The sequence below is a fragment of the Homo sapiens genome, chromosome 1 (genome assembly GCF_000001405.40).
Source record: "Homo sapiens chromosome 1, GRCh38.p14 Primary Assembly".
In the NCBI taxonomy this organism is placed as follows: domain Eukaryota; kingdom Metazoa; phylum Chordata; class Mammalia; order Primates; family Hominidae; genus Homo; species Homo sapiens.
In genome coordinates this window covers 75,814,934-75,837,915 of record NC_000001.11, presented here as the reverse complement: position 1 = coordinate 75,837,915, position 22,982 = coordinate 75,814,934, and the positions used below count along the sequence as shown (strand labels likewise).

Below are 22,982 nucleotides of genomic sequence, written 5' to 3'. Positions count from 1 at the left end.
AAATGAGATGAGAGAATTAAGGTATCCTGGGCTGGAGTGGCAGCCATGGGGATAGAAGAAGCAGATACATCCAAGAGGTATATAGCAAGGAGACATGGCAGATTTGATGACTGATTGGAAGGAAGGTAAGAGTTAAGAATGACTTTCATGTATCTAGCTTGCATAAAGAGGGTGGATGTGGAGCTATTCACTGAAACCAGGAAGAACTGATTTAGAAAAGAAGATGGCGGCCGGGCACAGTGGTTCACGCCTGTAATCCCAGCACATTGGGAGGCCGAGGCTGGTGGATCACCTGAGGTCAGGAGTTTGAGACCAGCCTGGCCAACATGGAGAAAATCCCATCTCTACTAAAAATACAAAAATTAGTCGGGTGTGGTGGTGGGTGCCTATATTCTCAGCTACTCGGGAGGCTGAGGCAAGAGAATCACTTGAACCTGGGAGGCAGAGGTTGTAGTGAGCTGAGATTGCACCATTGCACTCCAGGGTAGGTGACAGCAAGACTCCGTCTCAAAAAAAAAAAAAAAAAAAAGGGCACAATTTGGGTACATTAAGTTTCAGGTGATTGAGGAACACCTAACAAATGCTCTTATTCCATTCAAGCTGCTATAAAAAATTACCACAAGCTGAGTGGCTTATAAACAAGAGAAATTTATTTTCTGCTGGGCAGATTCAGTGTCCGGTAAGAGCCCACTTTCTGACTCATAGATGGTACCTTCTCGCTGTATCTTCACATGGTAGAAGGGGCAAGGAGTCTCCCTTGAGCTTCTCTTATAAGGGCACTGATCCCATTCATGAGGTCTCTGGCTACCCTTGTGTAACCACCCCCTAAAGGCCCCACGTCCTAATACTATCACCTTGAAGGTGAGGACTTCAACATATGAATTTTGGAGAAGCACAACATGTAGATCACAGCAAATGCTCAGAAGGCAATAAGATATTTGAGTCCAAAGTTCTGGAGAGATATTTAGGCATGAGATGTAAATTTGGAAGTCATGAATATGTGAATAATAGTCATAAAACCATGAAACTGGGTAAGTCATACAATAAGGAAATTCAGGATAAAAGGACAACCCAGAACATATCTTTGAAGAGCCATAGCATTTAGGAAATAAGCAAAGGAAGAGAAGTATATTTAAAAGACTCAGAAGGAAACCACAAAGACAGAGGAAGAAGATCAGGAGGTTGTGTAATCACAGAAACAAAGAAAGGCAGTAATTCAATAATGACAGATATTCAGCAGTATCAAATAAATTGTGGACATTTCTCTTATTCAAATAAGAGAACTAACGTGTCCATTACATTTAACAATATGCCTGTTGTTGACTGTGTTAGGTTGGGTTCTCCAGAAACAGACACTGAGGCAAGGATTTATGTGCCAGTAATTTATTAAGAATGTGCTTCCAAGCCTGGGCAACATAGTGAAATCCCGTGTCTACCAAAAACATAAAAATTAGCTAAGTATGGTGGCAGAGGCCTATAGTATCAGCTACTTGGGAGGCTGAGGTGCGAGGATTGCTTGAACCCAGGAGGTAGAGGTTGCAGTGAGCTGAAATCGCACCACCACACTCCAGCCTAGGCAACAGAATGAGACCTTGTCTCAAAAAAAAAAAAAAGAAAAAGAAAGAAAAAGAGAAAAAGAATCTGCTTCCAGAAGAAACCAGTAGAGCAGTGAGAAAAGGACAGAGAAGGGAAACCAAGCCAACCAACAGTGTGATTTCAGGCAAAGTTGTGTGGAAGGTAACTTCAACTAATCTTGCAAAGAAATTCTGGAGTTTAAGTTATATTCAGGTTTTTGCCAAATCAATGTGAAAGAGCTAGGCTTTCATATCTTCACACCATACAGTCATTTAAGGGCTACCAGGCATTTTGGGTACTCTGTGTTTAAGAACAAAGCGCTCTAACAGCCTGAAGGTAGGCATAGAAAAAGAGTCCAGGTGTGGGCCACTAGGCACGCAGACCAGCAAAAGGTGAACTCCGAAAGGTAAAAGGGATCCAAGACAATCTGTACAGAGAACCAACAAGATCTGCTCCAGTGACCTTGACAAGAGCAGTCTCAGCACAGTACTGGGCACAGAAATAAGATTGCAGCACATTGAGACATAGTGATGAAGAGAAGATAGTGAGCATAGGAAATTTGTTTTTCAACAGGTTTGGCTGTGAATAGAGAAGTGATATAGTGGTAGCTAGAAAAGATGAAGTCCAGGGAGAGTTTTTACAAAGATAGGAGAGACATGAGGAAGTTTAAATCCTCTTAGAAGAAGGCCATGGAGAGAAAAATAATGAAGATACAGGAGATAAGTGCAAGGATGGGATCCAGGGAACAGATGGAGGAATTAGCTAGAGAATACCACTTCTGGCTTAAACAAAGGGAGTGAAAAGTAGATAAGTATAAATGCATATTTGGTAGCAGAAAGTTTAAAAAGGTATCAATGGTTGGAGCTTGACCAATGTAACATGATTAAATGACTTTTCATATTCTTGGCACTTACGTATTACACTAAATGGCAGGTATAGGTAGACCAACAAGATGTTGCTATTAACAAGAAAAGGATAGTTAAAAATGGCCTCTTTCTGCCTTTCCCAATACTAAATACACAGGAATATACATATTTAAAAAAGAATATACTGGACAACATTGGACAGGCAGAGTCACAGTCAATATAATACCAGAATTTTGAAGGAATTACGCTAATTAAAGGTATTTGGAATTGGACTGAAGAAAACCTACTCAGGTAGTAAATGCCTTCTAGATTTGAATGCACCACTTTCATTTAGACTACCAGAACACAAGCTAGGGTAGTCAGGCAAGTGGAGGTATGGAAGACAGACCAAGCTGAAAGCAACCAAATACTGGACAAAGAGTAGTACATATAAACTATCCTTCCAACTACAGATTTAAGAATAAAACTGCACCACCATGCCAGTGGACAAACAGCCAGGTTGCAAAGGCAACTTTCTTTTCCTTTTTATTTTTCACTTCATTTGTTATTATTATTATACTTTAAGTTCTAGGGTACATGTGCACAACGTGCAGGTTTGTTACATATGTATACATGTGCCATGTTGGTGTGCTGCACCCGTTAACTCCTCATTTACAAATATCTCCTAATGCTATCCCTCCCCCATCCCCTGACCCCACGACAGACCCTGGTGTGTGGTTCCTTATCCCGTGTCCAAGTGTTCTCATTGTTCACTTCCCACCTATGAGTGAGAACATGCGGTGTTTGGTTTTCTGTCCTTGTGATAGTTTGCTCTGAATGATGGTTTCCAGCTTCATCCATGTACCTACAAAGGACATGAACTCATCCTTTGTTATGGCTGCATAGTAGTCCATGGTGTATATGCGCTACATTTTCTTAATCCAGTCTATCATTGTTGGACACCTGGGTTAGTTCCAAGTCTTTGCTACTGTGAATAGTGCCACAATAAACATATGTGTGCATGTGTCTTTATAGCAGCATGATTTACAATCCTTTGGGTATATGCCCAGTAATGGGATGGCTCGGTCAAATGGTATTTCTAGTTCTAGATCCTTGAGGAATCACCACACTGTCTTCCACAATGGTTGAACTAGTTTACAGTCCCACCAACAGTGTAAAAGCATTCTTATTTCTCCACATCCTCTCCAGCACTTGTTATTTCCTGACTTTTTAATGATTGCCATTCTAACTGATGTGAGATGGTATCTCATTGTGGTTTTGATTTGCATTTCTCTGATGGCCAGTGATAAGGAGTACTTTTTCATGTGTCTGTTGGATGCATAAATGTCTTCTTTTGCGAAGTGTCTGTTCATATCCTTTGCCCACTTTTTGATGGGGTTGATTTTTTCTTGTACATTTGTTTAAGTTCTTTGTAGATTCTGGATATTAGCGCTTTGTCAGATGGGTAGATTGTAAAATTTTCTCCCATTCTGTAGGTTGCCTGTTCACTCTGATGATAGTTTCTTTTGCTGTGCAGAATCTCTTTAGTTTAATTAGATCCTATTTGTCAGTTTTGGCTTTTGTTGCCATTGCTTTTGGTGTTTTAGTCATGAAGTCCTTGCCCATGCCTATGACCTGAATGGTATTGCTTAGGTTTTCTTCTAGGGTTCTTAAGGTTTTAGGTCTAACATTTGCGTCTTTAATCCATGTTGAATTAATTTTTGTATAAGGTGTAAGGAAGGGATCCAGTTTCAGGTTTCTACGTATGGCTAGCCAGTTTTCCCAGCACCATTTATTAAATAGGGAATCCTTTCCTCATTTCTTGTTTTTGTCAGGTTTGTCAAAGATTAGATGGTTGTAGATGTGTGGTATTATTTCTGAGGGCTCTACTCTGTTCCATTGGTCTATATATGTTTTGGTACCAGTGCCATGCTGTTTTGGTTACTGTAGGCTTGTAGTGTAGTTTGAAGTCATGTAGCGTGATGCCTCCATCTTTGTTCTTTTGGTTTAGGATTGTCCAGTTAATGCGAGCTCTTTTTTGGTTCCATGTGAACTTTAAAGTAGTTTTTTCCAATTCTGTGAAGAAAGTCATTCGTAGCTTGAAGGGGATGGCACTGAATATATAAAATACCTTGGGCAGTATGGCAATTTTCACAATATTGATTCTTCCTATCCATGAGCATGGAATGTGCTTCCATTTGTTTGTGTCCTCTTTTATTTCGTTGAGCAGTGGTTTGTAGTTCTACTGGAAGACATCCTTCACATCCCTTATAAGTTGGATTCCTAGGTATTTTATTCTCTTTGAAGCAACTGTGAATGGGAGTTCACTCATGAGTTGGCTCTCTGTATGTCTGTTATTGGTGTTTAGGAGTGCTTGTGATTTTTGCACATTGATTTTGTGTCCAGAGACTTTGCTGAAGTTGCTTATCAGCTTAAGGAGATTTTGGGCTGAGACGATGGGTTTTTCTAAGTAAACAATCATGACATCTGCAAACAGGGACAATTTGACTTCCTCTTTTCCTAATTGAATACCCTTTATTTCTTTCTTTTGCCTGCTTGCCCTGACCAGAACTGCCAACACTATGTTGAATAGGAGTGGTGAGAGAGGGCATCCCTGTCTTGTGCCAGGTTTCAAGGGAATGCTTCCAGTTTTTGCCCATTCAGTATGATATTGGCTGTGGGTGTGTCATAAATAGCTATTATTATTTTGAGATACGTTCCATCAATATCTAGTTTATTGAGAGTTTTTAGCATGAAGGGCTGTGGAATTTTGCTGAAGGCCTTTTCTGCCTCTATTGAGATAATCATGAGTTTTTGCCTTTGGTTCTGTTTATGTGATGGATTACGTATATTGCTTCAAAGTATGTTGAACCACCCTTGCATCCCAGGGAGAAAGCCGCCTTGATCGTGGTGGATAAGCTTTTTGATGAGCTGCTGGATTCGGTTTGCCAGTACTTTATTGAGGATTTTTGCATCGATGTTCATCAGGGATATTGGTCTAAAATTCTCTTTTTTTATTGTGTCTCTGCCAGGCTTTGGTATCAGGATGTTGCCAGCCTCATAAAATGAGTTAGGGAGGATTCCCTCTTTTTCTATTGATCAGAATAATTTCAGAGGGAATGGTACCAGCTCCTCCTTGTAACTCTGGTAGAATTCGGCTGTGAATCCATATGGTCCTGGACTTTTTTGGTTGGTAGGCTATTATTTATTGCCTTAATTTCAGAGCCTGTTATTGGTCTATTCAGAGATTCAACTTCTTCCTGGTTTAGTCTTGGGAGGGTGTATGTCTCCGGGAATTTATCCATTTCTTCTAGATTTTCTAGTTTATTTGCATAGAGGTGTTTATAGTATTCTCTGCTGGTAGTTTGCATTCCTGTGGAATTGGTGGTAATATCCACTTTATCATTTTTTATTGCATCTATTTGATTCTTCTCTCTTTTCTTCTTTATTAATCTTGCTAGTGGTCTATCAATTTTGTTGATCTTTTCAAAAAACCAGCTCCTTGATTCATTGATTTTTTGAAGGGTTTTTTGTGTCTCTATGTCCTTCAGTTCTGCTCTGATCTTAGTTATTTCTTATCTTCTGCTAGCTTTTGAATGGGTTTGCTCCTGCTTCTCTAGTTCTTTTAATTGTGATGTTAGGGTGTCAATTTTAGATCTTTCCTGCTTTCTCTTGTGGGCATTTAGTGCTATAAACTTCCCTCTACACACTGCTTTAAATGTGTGCCAGAGATTCTGGTATGTTTTGTCTTTGTTCTCATTGGTTTCAAAGAACATCTTTATTTCTGCCTTCATTTCATTATGTACCCAGTAGTCATTCAGGAGCAGGTTGTTCAGTTTCCATGTAGTTTAACGGTTTTGAGTGTGTTTCTTAATCCTCAGTTCTAGTTTGATTGCACTGTGGTCTGAGAGACAGTTTGTTATAATTTGTGTTCTTTTACATTTGCTGAGGAGTGCTGTACTTCCAACTATGTGGCCAATTTTGGAATAAGTGTGATGTGGTGCTGAGAAAATGTATATTCTGCTGCTTTGGGGTGGAGAGTTCTGTAGATGTCTGTTAGGTCCACTTGGTGCAGAGCTGAGTTCAATTCCTGGATATCCTTGTTAAGTTTGTGTCTCGATCTGTCTAATGTTGACAGTGGGGTATTAAAGTCTCCGACTATTATTGTGTGGGAGTCTAAGTCTCTTTGTAGGTCTCTAAGCACTTGCTTTATGAATCTGGGTGCTCCTGTTTTGGGTGCATATATATTTAGGAGAGTTAGCTCTCCTTGTTGAATTGACCCCTTTACCATTATGTAATGGCCTTCTTTGTCTCTTTTGATCTTTGTTGGTTTAAAATCTGTTTTATCAGAGACTAGGATTGCAACCCCTGCTTTTTTTGTTTTCCATTTGCTTGGTACACCTTCCTCCATCCCTTTATTGTGAGCCTATGTGTGTCTCTGCAAGTGAGATGGGTCTCCTGAATACAGCACATTGATGGGTCTTGACTCTTTATCCAACTTGCCAGTCTGTGTCTTTTAATTGGAGCATTTAGCCCATTTACATTTAAGGTTAATATGGTTACGTGTGAATTTGATCCTGTCATTATGATGTTAGCTGGTGATTTTGCTCGTCAGTTGGTGAAGTTTCTTTCTAGCATTGATGGTCTTTGCAATTTGGCATGTTTTTGCAGTGGCTGGTACTGGTTGTTCCTTTCCATGTTTAGTGCTTTCTTCAGGAGCTCTTGTAAGGCAGGCCTGGTGGTGACAGAATCTCTCAGCATTTGTTTGTCTTAAAGGATTTTATTTCTCCTTCACTTATGAAGCTTAGTTTGGCTGGATATGAAATTCTGGGTTGAAAATTCTTTTCTTTAAGAATGTTGAATATTGGCCTCCACTCTCTTCTGGCTTGTAGAGTTTCTGCTGGGAGATCCGCTGTTAGTCTGATGGGCTTCCCTTTGTGGGTAACCTGACCTTTCTCTCTGGTTGCCCTTAACATTTTTTCCTTCATTTCAACTTTGGTGAATCTGACAATTATGTGTCTTGGAATTGCTCTTCTTGAGGAGTATCTTTGCGGCGTTCTCTGTATTTCCTGAATTTGAATTGTTGGCCTGCCTTGCTAGGCTGGGGAAGTTCTCCTGGATAATATCCTGAAGAGTGTTTTCCAACTTGGTTCCATTCTCCCCGTCACTTTTAGGTACACCAATGAGATGTAGATTTGGTTTTTTCACATAGTGCCACATTTCTTGTAGGCTTTGTTCGGTTTTTTTTACCCTTTTTTCTCTAAACTTGTCTTTTTGCTTCATTTCATTCATTTGATCTTCAATCACTGATAGCCTTTCTTCCACTTGATCAAATCAGCTACTGAAGCTTGTGCACGCATCAAGAAGTTCTCGTGCCACGGTTTTCAGCTCCATCAGGTCACTTAAGGACTTCTCTACAATGTTTGTTCTAGTTAGCCATATGTCTCATCTTTTTTCAAAGTTTTTAGCTTCTTTGTTATGGGTTCGACCATCCTCCTTTAGCTTGGAGAAGTCTGCTATTACCGATCGTCTGAAGCCTTATTCTCTCATCAATGTCATTCTCCTTCCAGCTTTGTTCCGTTGCTGGCAAGGAGCTGCGTTCCTTTGGAGGAGAAAAGGTGCTCTGATTTTTAGAATTTTCAGCTTTTCTGCTCTGGTTTCTCCCCATCTTTGTGGCTTTGTCTACCTTTGGTCTTTGATGATGGTGGTGTACAGATGGTGTTTTGGTGTGGATGTCCTTTCTGTTTGTTAGTTTTCCTTCTATCAGTCAGGACCCTCAGCTGCAGGTCTGTTGGTGTTTGCTGGAGGTCCTATCCAGACCCTGTTTGCCTGGGTATCACCAGCAGAGGCTGCGGAACAGCAAATATTGCAGAACGGCAGATGTTGCTGCCTGATTCTTCCTCTGGAAGCTTTGTCTCAGAGGGGCATCCAGCTGTATGAGGTGTCAGTCGGCCCCTACTGGGAGATGCCTCCCAGTTAGGCTACTTGGGGGTCATGGCCCCACTTGGGGAGGCAGTCTGTCCATTCTCAGATCTCAAACTCCATGCTGGGAGAACCACCAGTCTCTTCAAAGCTGTCAGACAGGGATGTTTAAGTCTGCAGAAGTTTCTGCTGCCTTTTGTTCAGCTATGCCCTGCCCCTAGAGGTGGAGTCTACAGAGGCAAGGCAGGCCTCCTTGAGCTGCGGTGGGCTCCACCCAGTTTGAGCTTCCTGGCCGCTTTGTTTACCTACTCAAGCCTCAGCAAAGCCAGATGCCCATCCCCCAGCCTCGCTGCCACCTTGCAGTTCGATCTCAGACTGCTGTGCTAGCAGTGAGCGAGGCTCCATGGACGTGGGACCCTCCAAGCCAGGTGCGGGATATAATCTCCTGGTGTGCTGTTTGCTAAGGCCATTGGAAAAGCGCAGTATTAGGGTGGGAGTGTCCCAATTTTCCAGGTACTGTCTGTCATGGCTTCCCTTTGCTGGGAAAGGGAATTCTCTGAACCCTTGTGCTTCCCAGGTGAGGCAATGTCCTGCCCTGCTCCATGGGCTGTACCCACTGTCTGACAAGCCCCAGTGAGATGAACCCAGCACCTCAGTTGGAAATGCAGAAATCACCCGTCTTCTGTGTTGCTCATGCTGGGAGCTGCAGACTGGAGCTGTTCCTATTTGGCCATCTTGGAACCTCCTCTCTTTTCCTTTTTAAAAAAAATTATTTTGGATTTACAGGGTACATGTGCAGGTTTGTTGCATAGATACATTGTTTGATGCTGAAGTTTGGGCTTTGATTGAATCCAGCACTCAGATAGTAAACATAGTACCCAATAGTTTTGAACCCTTGCCCCATTCCTCTCCCCTTTTGGAGTCCCCAATAGCTATTGTTCCCATCTTTATATCCCCATGTGTACCCAATGTTTAGCTCCCACATATAAGTAAGAACATGCAGTATTTGGTTTTCTGTTTCTGCGTTCATTCACTTAGAATAATGGCCTCCAGCTACATCCATGCTGCCAAAAAGAACATGATTTCATTCTTTTTATAACAGCATAGTATTCCAAGGTGTATATGTACCAAATTTTCTTCACCCAGTCCACTGTTGATGGGCACCTGGGTTCATTCCATGTCTTTGCTGCCGTGAATAATGTTGCAATAAACATGTGAGTGCAGGTGTCTTTTTGGGAGAACAATTTATTTATGTTTGGGTATATATCCAGTAATGGGATTGCTGGGTTGAATGGTAATTCTATTTTTAGTTCTCTGAGAAATCTCCAAACTGCTTTCCACAGAGGCTGAACTAATTTACAATCCTAAGAACAATGTATGAGCATTTCCTTCTCTCTGCAGACTTGCCAACATCTGTTATTTTTTGACTTTTTAATAATAGCTATTCCAACTGGTGTGAGATGGCATCTCATTGTGGTTTTGATTTGTACTTTTCTGAGGATTAGTGACATTGAGCATTTTTTCATATGTTTATTGGTCACTTGTATGTCTTTCTTTTGAGAAGCATCTGTTGATGTACTTTGCCCAGGGCAATTTTCTTATTCAAATAAGGGAACTAATGTGCCCATTAAATTTAACAATATGGACAGTGGGTATTAAAGTCTCCCACTATTATTGTGTGGGGGTCTAAGTCTCCTTGTAGGTCTCTAAGAACTTCTTTTATGAATCTGGGTGCTCCTGTATTGGGTGCATGTATATTTAGGATAGTTAGCTCTTCTTGTTGTATTGATCCCTTTACCATTATATAATGCCCTTCTTTGTCTCTTTTGATCTTTGTTGGTTTAAAGTCCATTTTATCAGAGACTAGGATTGCAATCTCTGCTTTTTACTTTACTTTTTTTTTTTTTTTGCTTTCCATTTTCTTGGTAAATATTCCTCCATCCCTTTATTTTGAGCCTATGTGTGTCTTTGCATGTGAGATGGGTCTCCTGAATACAGCACACTGATGGGTCTTGACTCATTATCCAATTTGTCAGTCTGTGTCTTTTAATTGGGGCATTTAGCCCATTTACATTTAAGGTTAATATTGTTATGTGTGAATTTGATCCTATCATCATGATGCTAGCTGGTTATTTTGCACATTAGTTGATGCAGTTTCTTCACTGTGTTGTTGGTGTTTATATTATGGTGTATTTTTACAGTGGCTGGTACTGGTTTTTCCTTTCCATATTTAATGCTTCCTTCAGGAGTTCTTGCAAGGCAGGCCTGATGGTGACAAAATCCCTCAGCATTTGCTTGTCTGTAAAGGATTTTATTTCTCCTTCACTTATGAAATTAAGTTTGGCTGGATGAAATTCTGGGTTAAAAATTCTTTTCTTTAAGAATATTGAATATTGGCCCCCACTCTCTTCTTGCTTGTAGGGTTTCTGCACAGAGATCCGCTGTTAGTCTCATGGGCTTCCCTTTGTAAATAACCTGACCTTTCTCTCTGGCTTCCCTTAACATTTTTTCCTTTTGTTTCAACCTTGGCGAATCTGACAATAATGAGACAGAAAATTAACAAGGATATTCAAGACTTGAACCCAGCTCTGAACCAAGTGGACCTAATAGACATCTATAGAACTCTCTACCCCAAATCAACAGAATATACATTCTTCTCAGCACCACATAGCACTTATTCTAAAATCGACCACATAATTGTAAGTAAAACACTCTTCAGCAAATGGAACAGAATGGAATTCATAACAGTCTCTCAGACCACAGTGCAATCAAATTAGAACTCAGGATTAAGAAACTCACTCAAAACTGCACAACTGCATGGAAAGTAAACAACCTCCTCCTGAATGACTACTGGGTAAATAACAAAATTAAGTCAGAAACAAAGAAGTACTTTGAAACCAATGAAAACAAAGAGACAATGTACCAGAATCTCTGGGACACAGCTAAACCAGGGTTAAGAGGGAAATTTATAGCACTAAATGCCCACATCAGAGAGTGGAAAAGATCTCAAATCGACACCCTAACATCACAATTAAAAGAATTAGAGAAGCAAGAGCAAACAAATTCAAAAGCTAGAAGAAGACAAGAAATAACTAAGATCAGAGCAGAACTGAAGGAGACAGAGACATGAAAAACCCTTCGAAAACTCCATGAACCGGGGAGCTGGTTTTTTGAAAAGATTAACAAAATAGACCACTATGCAGACTAATAAAGAAGAAAAGGGAGAAGAATCAAATAGACACAATAAGAAATGATAAAGGGGATATCACCACTGATCCCACAGAAATACAAACTAACATCAGAGAATACTATAAACACCTCTACACAAATAAACTAGAAAATCTAGAAGAAATGGATAAATTCCTGGACACATACACCCTCCCAAGACTAAACCAGGAAGAAGTTGAATCTGTGACTAGACCAATAACAAGTTCTGAAATTGAGGGAGTAATTAATAGCCCACCAACCAAAAAAAGCTCAGGACCAGATGGATTCACAGCCGAATTCTACCAGAGGTACAAGGAGGAGCTGGTACCATTCCTTTTGAAACTATTTCAAACAATAGAATAAGAGGGACTCCTCTCTAACTCATTTTATGAGGGCAGTATCATCCTGATTCCAAAACCTGGTACAGACACAACAAAAAAAGAAAATTTCAGGCCAATATCCCTGATGAACATTGATGTGAAAATCCTCAGTAAAATACTGGCAAACCGAATCCAGCAGCACATCAAAAAGCTTATCCACCACAATCAAGTTGGCTTTATCCCTGGGATGGAAGGCTAGTTCAACATATGCAAATCACTAAATGTAATCTGTCACATAAACAGAACCAATGACAAAAACCACATGATTATCTCAATACATGCAGAAAAGGCCTTCGATAAAATTCAACACCCTTCATACTAAAAAACTGTCAATAAACTAGGTATTGATGGAACATATCTCAAAATAGTAAGAGCTATTTATGACAAACCCACAGCCAATATCATATTGAATGGGCAAAAACTGGAAGCATTCCCTTTGAAAACCGGCACAAGACAAGGATGTCCTTTCTCACCACTCCTATTCAACATAGTATTGGAAGTTCTGGCCAGGGCAATCAGGCAAGAGAAAGAAATAAAGGGTATTCATATAGGAAGAGAGAAAGTCAAATTGTCTCTGTTTGCAGATGACATGATTATATATTTAGAAAACCCCATCGTCTCAGCCCAAAAACTCCTTAAACTGATAAACAACTTCAGCAAAATCTCAGGACACAAAATTAATGTGCAAAAATCACAAGCATTCCTATACACCAATAATAGACAAGCAGAGAGCCAAATCATGAGTGAACTCCCATTCACAACCGCTACGAAGAAAATAAAACACCTAGGAATACAACTTACAAGGGAAGTGAAGGACCTCTTCAATGAGAACTACAAAAAGAACTCAAGGAAATAAGAGAGGACACAAACAAATGGAAAAACATTCCATGCTCACAGATAGGAGGAATCAATATTGTGAAAATGGCCATACTGCCCAAAGTAATTTATAGATTCAATGTTATTCCCATTTAGCTACCATTGACTTTCTTCACAGAACTAGAAAAAAAAATACTTTAAATTTCATATGGAATGAAAAAAGAGATCATATAGCCAAAACAATCCTAAGCAAAAAAAAAAAAAAACAAAGCTGAAGGTATTATGCTACCTGACTTCAAACTACTACAAGGCTACAGTAACTAAAACGGTATGGTACTGGTACCAAAACAGATATATAGACCAATGGAACAGAACAGAGACCTGAGAAATAACACCACATATGTTTGACAAACCTAACAAAAGCAAGCAATGGGGAAAGGATTCCCTGTTTAATAAACGGTGCTAGGAAAACTGGCTAGACATATGCAGAAAGCTGAAACTGGATCCCTTCCTTACACCTTATACAAAAATTAACTCAAGATGGATTAAAGACTTAAATGTAAGACCTAAAACCATACAAACCCTAGAAGAAAACCTAGGCAATACCATTCAGGATATAGGCATAGGCAAAGACTTCATGACTACAACACCAAAAGCAATGGCAACAAAAGCCAAAATTGACAAGTGGGATCAATTAAACTAAAGCGCTTCTGCTCAGCAAAAGAAACTATCATCAGAGTGAAAAGGCAACCTACAGAATGGGAGAAAATTTTTACAATCTACCCATCTGACAAAGCTCTAAAATCCAGAATCCACAAGGAACTTAAAAACATTTACAAGAAAAAAACAACCCCATCAAAAAGTGGGCAGAGGATATGAACAGACACTTCTCAAAAGAAGACATTTGTGCGGCCATCAAACATATGAAAAAAAGCTCATCATCACTGGTCATTAGAGAAATGCAAATCAAAACCACAATGAGATACCAGCTCAAGCCAGTTAGAATGTCGATCATTAAAAAGTAAGGAAACAACAGATGCTGGAGAGGATGTGGAGAAATAGGAACACTTTACACTGTCGGTGGGAGTCTAAATTAGTTCAACCATTGTGGAAGACAGTGTGGCGATTCCTCAAGGATCTAGAACCAGAAATATCATTTGACCCAGCAATCCCATTACTGAGTATATACCAAAAAAATTATAAATCTTTCTACTATAAAGACACATGCACATGTATGTTTACTGCAGCACTATTTACAATAGCAAAGGCTTGGAACCAACCCAAATGCCCATCAATGATAGACTGGATAAAGAAAATGTGGCACATATACACCATGGAATACTATGCAGCCATTAAAAAGAATGAGTTCATGACCTCTGCAGGGACATGGATGAAGCTGGGAACCGTCATCCTCAGCAAACTAATGCAGGAACAGAAAACCAAACACTGCATGTTTTCACTCATAAGTGGGAGTTGAACAATGAGAACACATGGGCACAGGGAGGGGAACATCACACACTGGGGCCTGTCAGTGGGTGGAGGGAAAGGGGAGGGAGAGCATTAGGACAAATCCCCAATGCATGCAAGGCTTAAAACCTAGATGATGGGTTGATAGGTGCAGCAAACTACCATGGCACATGTATACCTATGTGACAAACCTGCATGTTCAGCACATTTCAGCACATGTATTCCAGAATTTAAAGTAAAGAAAAAAAAAATTAGCAATATGCCTGTTGGTGACTGTGTTAGGGTGAGTTCTCCAGAAACAGACCCTGAGGCAAGGGCAATTTTCTTATCCCATGTTATGGGTTGAATTGTGACCCCCAAATGATACTGTGAAGTCTTAACTCCGGGTATCTGTTAGTGTGACCTTATTTGGAAATTGCATCTTTGCAAATGTAATCAAGCTAATGTGAGGTTATTAAGGTAGGTCTTAATACAATACGACTAGTGTCTTTATAAGACGACAATGTGAAGACACGCAGGGAGAAAACCATATGACAATAGAAGCAGAGATTGCAATGACAAACCTGTGAGCCAAGGCCCATCATGGACTGACAGCGACCACCAAAAGCTAGAAAGGGGCAAAGGATTCTCCCCTATAGGTTTCAGAGGGAGCATGGCTTTTCTGACACCTTATTTTAAGTTTCTAGCTTCCAGAACTGTAAGACAAAAACTTTCTGTTGTTTTAAACCATGGAGTAGGTACTAGTTTTTAGAGCAGCCTAGGAAACTAATATATCCTATCCGTTGATAATTACGTAGTCTGAACAAATCTTCCCATCTTTGAGGATTACCATGGAGAAAAAGAATGTAAAGTATCTATGAACAACAACAACAAAAACAACAACAAAAAAAAACAGAAAAAAATGGAAAAGAAAAGCATACAGGAAATCAAAATACATTACATAATGTACCCCTGAAATTATTTACTACAGGACTCAGTAGAAAATTTCAGGAAAATATTTTCCATAAAAGAATACAAGAATTAACACCTTCACTACTTGTCTTTCAGAAACATGGAAAAATAACTAAGCCAACTGTATTTTTCAATAATTTGTATTTATAATATTAAATAATATTGATTTACCTGATTGAAGTCCAAAAAATAGTTCCTCATCTTGAAGTAGTTCTTGAACACAATCTAATCTCATGTTAATGGTTTCAATATCAACTAGAGGCTCTAATATATTAGAACGAAGTCGTCTACTCCCTCCAGGAGTCTTAGTATAATTTAGAACACCAAAGAGAGTGTGATTATTCCTTTCAAAACACAAGAAATGTCAGTAAGAATACAAAGAAAAACGCAAGAAAATTTCATTTCACTTTGTAATTAAATAATCCTATAATCTACAGCAATGATTCTTTTTTTTTTTTTTTTTTGAAACAGAGTCTCGCTCTCTCTCCCAGTATGGAGTACAGTGGCGCGATCTCGGCTCACTGTAAGCTCCGCCTCCAAGGTTCACGCCATTCTCCTGCCTCAGCTTCCTGAGTAGCTGGGACTACAGGCGCCCGCCACCACGCCCAGCTAATTTTTTGTATTTTTGTATTTTTAGTAGAGACGGGGTTTCACCTTGTTAGCCAGGATGGTCTCCATCTCCTGACCTTGTGATCCGCCTGCCTTGGCCTCCCAAAGTGCTGGGATTACAGGCGTGAGCCACCGCGCCTGGCCAGCAATGATTCTTAAACTTTACTGTGCATACAATTACATAAATTTCTAATTCAGTAGGTCTAATAAAAAGCATGAGGTTCTACATTTTGGGCCACGCACGGTTGCTCACACCTATAATCTCAACAACACTCTGGGAGGCCAAGGCAGGAGGAATACTTGAACTCGGGAGTTCAAGACCAGCATGGACAACATAGTGAGACCCCGAGTCTACAAAAAACTAAAAATTAACTGGACAGGGTGGCACAGGCCTTTAGTCCCAGTTAGTCAGGAGGCTGAGATGGGAGGATTGCTTGAGCCCAGGAGGTCAAGGCTGCAGTGAACCATACTTGCACCACTGTATTCCAGTGTGGAGACAGAGTGAGATCTTGTCGCAAAAAAAGTTTTTAGATATATTTTGATTTTTTGAAGGGATTTTTGTGTCTCTATTTCCTTCATTTCTGCTCTGATCTTAGTTATTTTTTGCATTCCGCTAGCTTTTGAATGTGTTTGCTCTTGCTTCTCTAGTTCTTTTAATTGTGATGTTAGGGTGTCAATTTTAGATCTTTCCTGCTTTCTCTTGTGGGCATTTAGTGCTATAAATTTCCCTCTACACACTGCTTTGAATGTGTCCCAGAGATTCTGGTATGTTGTGTCTTTGTTCTCGTTGGTTTCAAAGAACATCTTTATTTCTGCCTTCATTTCGTTATGTACCCAGTAGTCATTCAGGAGCAGGTTGTTCAGTTTCTATGTAGTTGAGCGGTTTTGAGTGAGTTTCTTAATCCTGAGTTCCAGTTTGATTGCACTGTGGTCTGAGAGACAGTTTGTTATAATTTCTGTTCTTTTACATTTGCTGAGGAGTGCTTTACTTCCAGCTATGTGGTCAATTTTGGAATAGGTGTGGTGTGGTGCTGAAAAGAATGTATATTCTGTTGATTTGGGGTGGAGAGTTCTGTAGATGTCTATTACGTCCGCTTGGTGCAGAGCTGAGTTCAGTTCCTGGATATCCTTGTTAACTTTCTGTCTCGTTGATCTGTCTAATGTTGACAGTGGGGTGTTAAAGTCTCCCATTATTATTGTGTGGGAGTCTAAGTCTCTTTGTAGGTCTCTAAGTACTTGCTTTATGAATCTGGGTGCTCCTGTATTGGGTGCATATATATTTAGGATAGTTAGCTCTTCTTGTTGAATTGATCCCTTTACCATTATGTAATGGCCTTCTTTGTCTCTTTTGATCTTTGTTGTGAATCCAGGAGCTGGTTTTTTGAAAAGATAAACAAAATTGATAGACCACTAGCAAGACTAATAAAGAAGAAAAGAGAGAAGAATCAAATAGATGCAATAAAAAATGATAAAGGGGATATCACCACTGATCCCACAGAAATACAAACTACCATCAGAGAATACTATAAACACCTCTATGCAAATAAACTAGAAAATCTAGAAGAAATGGATAAATTCCTGGAGACATACACCCTCCCAAGACTAAACCAGGAAGAAGTTGAATCTCTGAATAGACCAATAACAGGCTCTGAAATTGAGGCAATAATTAATAGCTTACCAACCAAAAAATGTCCAGGACCAGATGGATTCACAGCCAAATTCTACCAGAGATACAAGGAGGAGCTGGTACCATTCCTTCTGAAACTATTCCAATCAACAGAAAAAGAGGGAATCCTCCCTAACTCATTTTATGAGGATATATTTTGAACAAGCTCCCATATATGCTATTGGTCAATGAACTACACTTTAACAAGGATGAATAGAATCTCCTTGCACTTTATGACTTCTTTTATAGATCAGTTACAATATTCACACTAATATAAAGTTTTCTAGTCTATTTATTCCATCCATAATAGCAAGATATTAATAATATATCCTTAAGGGTGGAGGGGCTTTTATATTGTTAAAATAAATATTTACTATAATGATCTTGTTCTGATGACAAGTACAAGACAATTTCATAATTCCTAGGTGATTTATAAAGAAATGAGCTATTCTAAAGAATGCTGGTCAGTCAAGGTGGCGCATGCCTGTATTCCCAGCACTTTGGGAGGCAGAGGCAGGTGGATCACTTGAGGTTAGGAGTTCAAGACCAGCCTGGCCAACATGGTGAAACCCCATCTCTACTGAAAAAAAAATACAAAAATTAGCCAGGTATAGTGGCAGGCACCTGTAATCCCAGCTTCTCAGGAGGCTGAGCCATAAGAATCACTTGAACCCGGGAGGCGGAGGTTGCAGTGAGCCGAGATTGCGCCACTGCACTCCAGCCTGGGCTACAAAGTGAGACTCTGTCTAAAACAAACAAAAACAAAGAAACAAAAAAATTCATTTAGTTGGACTATTTATTAGACAACTTCATATAATACATGTAAAAAATCTGATTCATTTTAATATTTAACAAATACTTTTTGAGCCCTTATGGTATTCAAAACTCTATGCTAAACACTGGGCATATAAGACGGACATGATTCCTGTCTTCACAGACCTTACAGCCTAATGGCGATTGCCAATAACTTTTTATTTATTTATTTATTTAGACAGAGTCTTGCTCTGTTGCGCAGGCTGGAGTACAGCAGCACTATCTAGGCTCACTGCTACCTCTGCCTCCAGGGTTCAAGTGATTCTCATGCCTCAGCCTCCTGAGTAGCTGGGATTACAGGTGTGCCACTATGCTGGCTAAATTTTGTATTTTTGGTAAAGACAGGGTTTCACCATGGCGACCAGGCTGGTCTCAAACTCCTGGCCTCAAGTGATCCACCCACGTTGGCCTGCCCAGGGTGCTGGGATTACAGGCATGAGCCACCGCACTTAGCCATTGACAATAACTTTTGTCAGTTTACTGGCCGTGACTGAAGACAAGACAAAGAGCGAGGGGAAATAAACAATAAAAACAATAAACACATAATCATATCAAGAAAATAATTTTAGGTACAGAAACAGCTAAAAAAAACAAAAACAGGCCGGGCACGGTGGCTTACACCCGTAATCCCAGCACTTTAGGAGGCCGAGGCGGGTGGATCATGAGGTCAGGAGATCGAGACCGTCCTGGCTAACACAGTGAGACCCCGTCCCTACTAAAAATACAAAAAAAAAATTAGCTGGGCATGGTGGTGGGTGCCTGTAGTCCCAGCTACTTGGGAGGCTGAGGCAGGAGAATGGCGTGAACCCTGGAGGCAGAGCTTGCAGTGAGCCAAGATTGCACCACTGCACTCCAGCCTGGTCAACAGAGTGAGACTCCATCTCAAAACAAAAAACAAACAAACAAAAAAAACGGAATATACAGAGAAGGACCAGGGTGGTTGCTTTAGTTAGGTTGATTAAGAAAGACTTCCCTATGAATTTGATAGTAGAGTTGAGAACTGAATGATTAAAAAAGAAGGCAGCAATGCAAAGATGACGATGGGATGGGAATCATGACAACAATAATGAGGACAGCTAACATAAAATGATACTTAGTATGTACCCACAATTGTTCTAAGCATTTTAAAAGTATTAACTTGTTTAATTCTAATAACCATGTTATGAGATAGGCACTATTATTGGCCACATCATTTTACAACAGAAGTAACTTAAGAACAAGGAAATTAGGTAACTTGTCCAAGATTTCCAAGTAAGTAGCATAGCAGCAATTTAAGCCCAGGAAGTCTGGCTCCAGAACAAAAAAGAAGATCAAGGTTAGTGGAGCTTTGCAAGTGGGGGTAAGAATAGAGAGAGATGAATGAAGAAGTTGATAGAGGCCAGGACATAGAAGTCCTTATAGGCCAAAGAGTCTGGATTCTATTGTAAATGTAAGGAGAGCCACTGGAAGGTTTTCAGCAGAAGAGTTACAAGATCTGATTTCTGGATTAAAAGGATATCACAGTATGACTACTATTAATATGTTGAGAATAAACTATAGGAAGGTAAGAAGAGGGCAGAAAGAAAAGCTAGGAGGCTATTATAGTAGTCTATGCTAAAGATGATAGAGGTTTGGGTTAGGGTAGTAGCCTTGGAAATGGTGACAAGTGATCCAGAACTGGTATATACTCTGAAGGCTAGATCAAGAGGATTTTCTGATGGATCAAATCTGAGGTGTGAAAGGAGAGGAAACAAGAATGACTTTTAAGATTTAGTCATCATTCTACCAGATTTCTGTCATACCCATTTAAACTAATTTGTAGGGAACTACTCATATCAACTGGCTAGGGGGAGGGGGGGTGTCTCCCATCACATGTACATTTTTTTTTTTTGAGAACTTATTTCTAAAAGGAGGTAAGGGGCACACATAAACCTCCCATTTGTTATAGAAATCAATGGATGTAATACTGCACTGAACAGGCAGCAAGCCTATGGAAGCATTGGAGCTATTCAGATAGTTCAGTACGTAGAATATCCATCTTTTAACCTGAGGATTCTTTCATTTAAGTCTGTGAAAAGACTTTTCAATTGTTCCTTTCAACTATAATACTAACTCCTGGAGATCAGATATTCTATCATTTAAGTATCTGTATCCCTAATATATAGCAGGAAGTCAAACAATGTTTGACAATGATAAAGTGTGAAACATGACAAGGTAAAACTGAATATAAAACACTTTGTAATAACTACCAGGCTTGGTCATTGACTTTCTATGCCATGATAACATAGGATATCATAGAAAGTCAAAGACAGAGTAATTTTAACCTATAACCTAATGGATGTGAAGTGGTATCTAACTGCGGTTTTGATTTGTAGTTCCCTAATGACTAGTAAAGTTGAGCATCTTTTCTGGTACTTACTGGCCATTTGTTTACCTTCTTTGTGAAAATGTCTATTAAGTTCCTTTACCCAGTTCTGAACTGGGTTGTTTTTTGTTATTTAGTACAAATATCTTTTTAAAACTTGATTTTGGTGAAACATCTGACCAGTTCAGCAAAAACAGTACAATGATTTAAAACATGCTTACTTAATATTTCTCCACCATTAGCTGGGCATGGCAGTTTGTGCCCATAGTTTCAGCTACTTGGAGGCTGAGGCAGGACAATCATTTGAGCCCAGGAGTTTGAGACCAGCCTGGACAAAATAGCAAGAACCTACCTCTTAAATAAAATTCTCCATCAAATAATTCAAAGAAGTTTAGGCTGAGAGCAGTAGCTCACGGCTGTAATCCCAGCACTTTGGGAGGCTGAGGCAGGTGGATAATTTGAGATCCAGAATTTGAGACCAGCCTGGCCAATATGGTGAAACCCTGTCTCTATTAAAAATAGAAAAATTAGCTAGGCATGGTGGCACATGCCTGTAGTCCCAACTACTTGGGAGGCTGAGACAGAAGAATTGCTTGAACCTGGAAGGCAGAGGTTGCAGTGAGCTGAGATCGCACCACTGCACTCCAGCCTGGGCAACAAGAGCAAAACTCCATCTCAAAATTTAAAAAAGAAAAAAAGAACTTTAAAGTTACCATTAATAGAAAAATATATATATACCGATATATTTTATACAAATAAAATGGATGATCTTACCTATAGTCTTGATTATTAATTAACAATTCAAGGTTTTGGGCTGATGATGAATCTATCATGGCTGTCTGTTCACTACCCTGGAAACAAATCTTCAGTGATTTTGGTGCATAAACTGAATTTTGAATAAATTCAACATATTTTAACAAAGCTGCAACAGCTGCAAGGCAGTAATACCTAAAAGATGACCAATAATACATCACTATAAGTCTTTAATATAAAAAATTATCTATTTCCCCTTAAGAAAAATTATAAATATTTGCATAGCATTGCTTAAACTCAAAAGGAAAAGGTACACCAGGTATTTCATATTTTTGAAAACTAGGTAAATAACCTCTAAATCATAAAAATGAATGAAAATAAATAATTTCAAGTATTAATTTCAAGTTCAAGTCTGACACTTAAGGGACTTTAAATTCCGATAAATCCTGTGTTAGGAGGTAACATTCAATCAAAGGTAATTTGCATCAATTTTTGATGTACCATTCTAAGTATTCAAATAATGTTAGGAAAGTCTGATACTTTATTTATTTATTTATTTTGAGACAGGGTCTAGCTCTGTCAACCAGGCTGGGGTACAGTGGTGTGATCTCGGCTCACTGCAACCTCCACCTCCCAGGCTCAAGCAATACTCCTGCCTCAGCCTCCCAAGTAGCTAGGATGACAGTCATGCACCACCACACCCAGGTAATTTTTGTATTTTTGGTAGAGATGGGGTTTTGCCATGTTGCTGAGGCTGGTCTCAAACTCCTTGGCCTCCCGAAGTGCTGGGATTTCAGGCATGAGTCACTGTGCCCAGCCTGGAAAAATCCGGTACTTTAACGGTAGAATCAGATCTCAATGTACAGAGAAGTATGTTATGATCTCAGTGAGAATAATGATTGTTATTAACTGAGTAAACAGGTAATCCAACCTGACTCAAAGAAAGTATCTATTTCGTATGTTCTAGGAAATATGTGTTCCAAAAATACCATTCTCTGTCTCATGCTGAATCTGTTAGGAGTAAAGACAGAAAGAAACAGGAACACAGCTTTACCTGTGTTTTACTCCTATGCCCTCACATTTCCAGTTTACTGTAGCTACTTGAGCTTTTCACTCCAAAGTAAAGTGAGTAGCAACCATTAGGTCAATAGCTTATGACTAATTTGGAGAAATTCTATATAAATTAAGTTAGCAATATATGCCTTGTGTATAAATTTTAGTCAACTATTTCACTATTTCAATAATTACTATGTATTATGAACCAGGTAATTTTCCAGGTGGTAGGAATGCAGCAGAGAACAAAACAGACAAAAGTCCCTGCCCTTGTGGAACTCACACTGGAGATTTATTTACTTTCCTTAAGTTATAACTTACTTGATATGATATTGGTAGCTGTGGGCTAGTAAAAAAATAAATAAATATATAACTTACTTGGACTGAACCTCCATTAGGACAGTGCTGAATTCTGCTATGCATAACTGTTCAATGTACTCTAATCCTTTTGTTTCATTGAAGTATTTCCTTTGGATAGTAGTGAAATTAACATTCTGAAAAGAAGTTTTAATTTCAAAATAAAGTTTGAAGTGCCATGCGCTTGCCCAAAACTGCTTTCTTAAACACATGCTAGGTAAGTG

The 22,982-nt window shown here is 39.4% G+C and overlaps 1 protein-coding gene across 1 annotated transcript in view; it reads right to left on the bottom strand.

The window, feature by feature from the left end:
* The window catches only part of MSH4 (mutS homolog 4), a 116,361-nt gene that overhangs the window by 75,327 nt on the left and 18,052 nt on the right, over positions 1-22,982 (bottom strand). The window contains exons 5-7 of the mRNA NM_002440.4: positions 22,780-22,895; positions 21,370-21,543; positions 15,335-15,507 (exon numbers count right to left, since the gene is read on the bottom strand). Of these exons, the coding sequence (NP_002431.2) occupies positions 15,335-15,507; positions 21,370-21,543; positions 22,780-22,895 (463 nt within the window). The remainder of the gene's footprint in view (positions 1-15,334; positions 15,508-21,369; positions 21,544-22,779; positions 22,896-22,982) is intronic.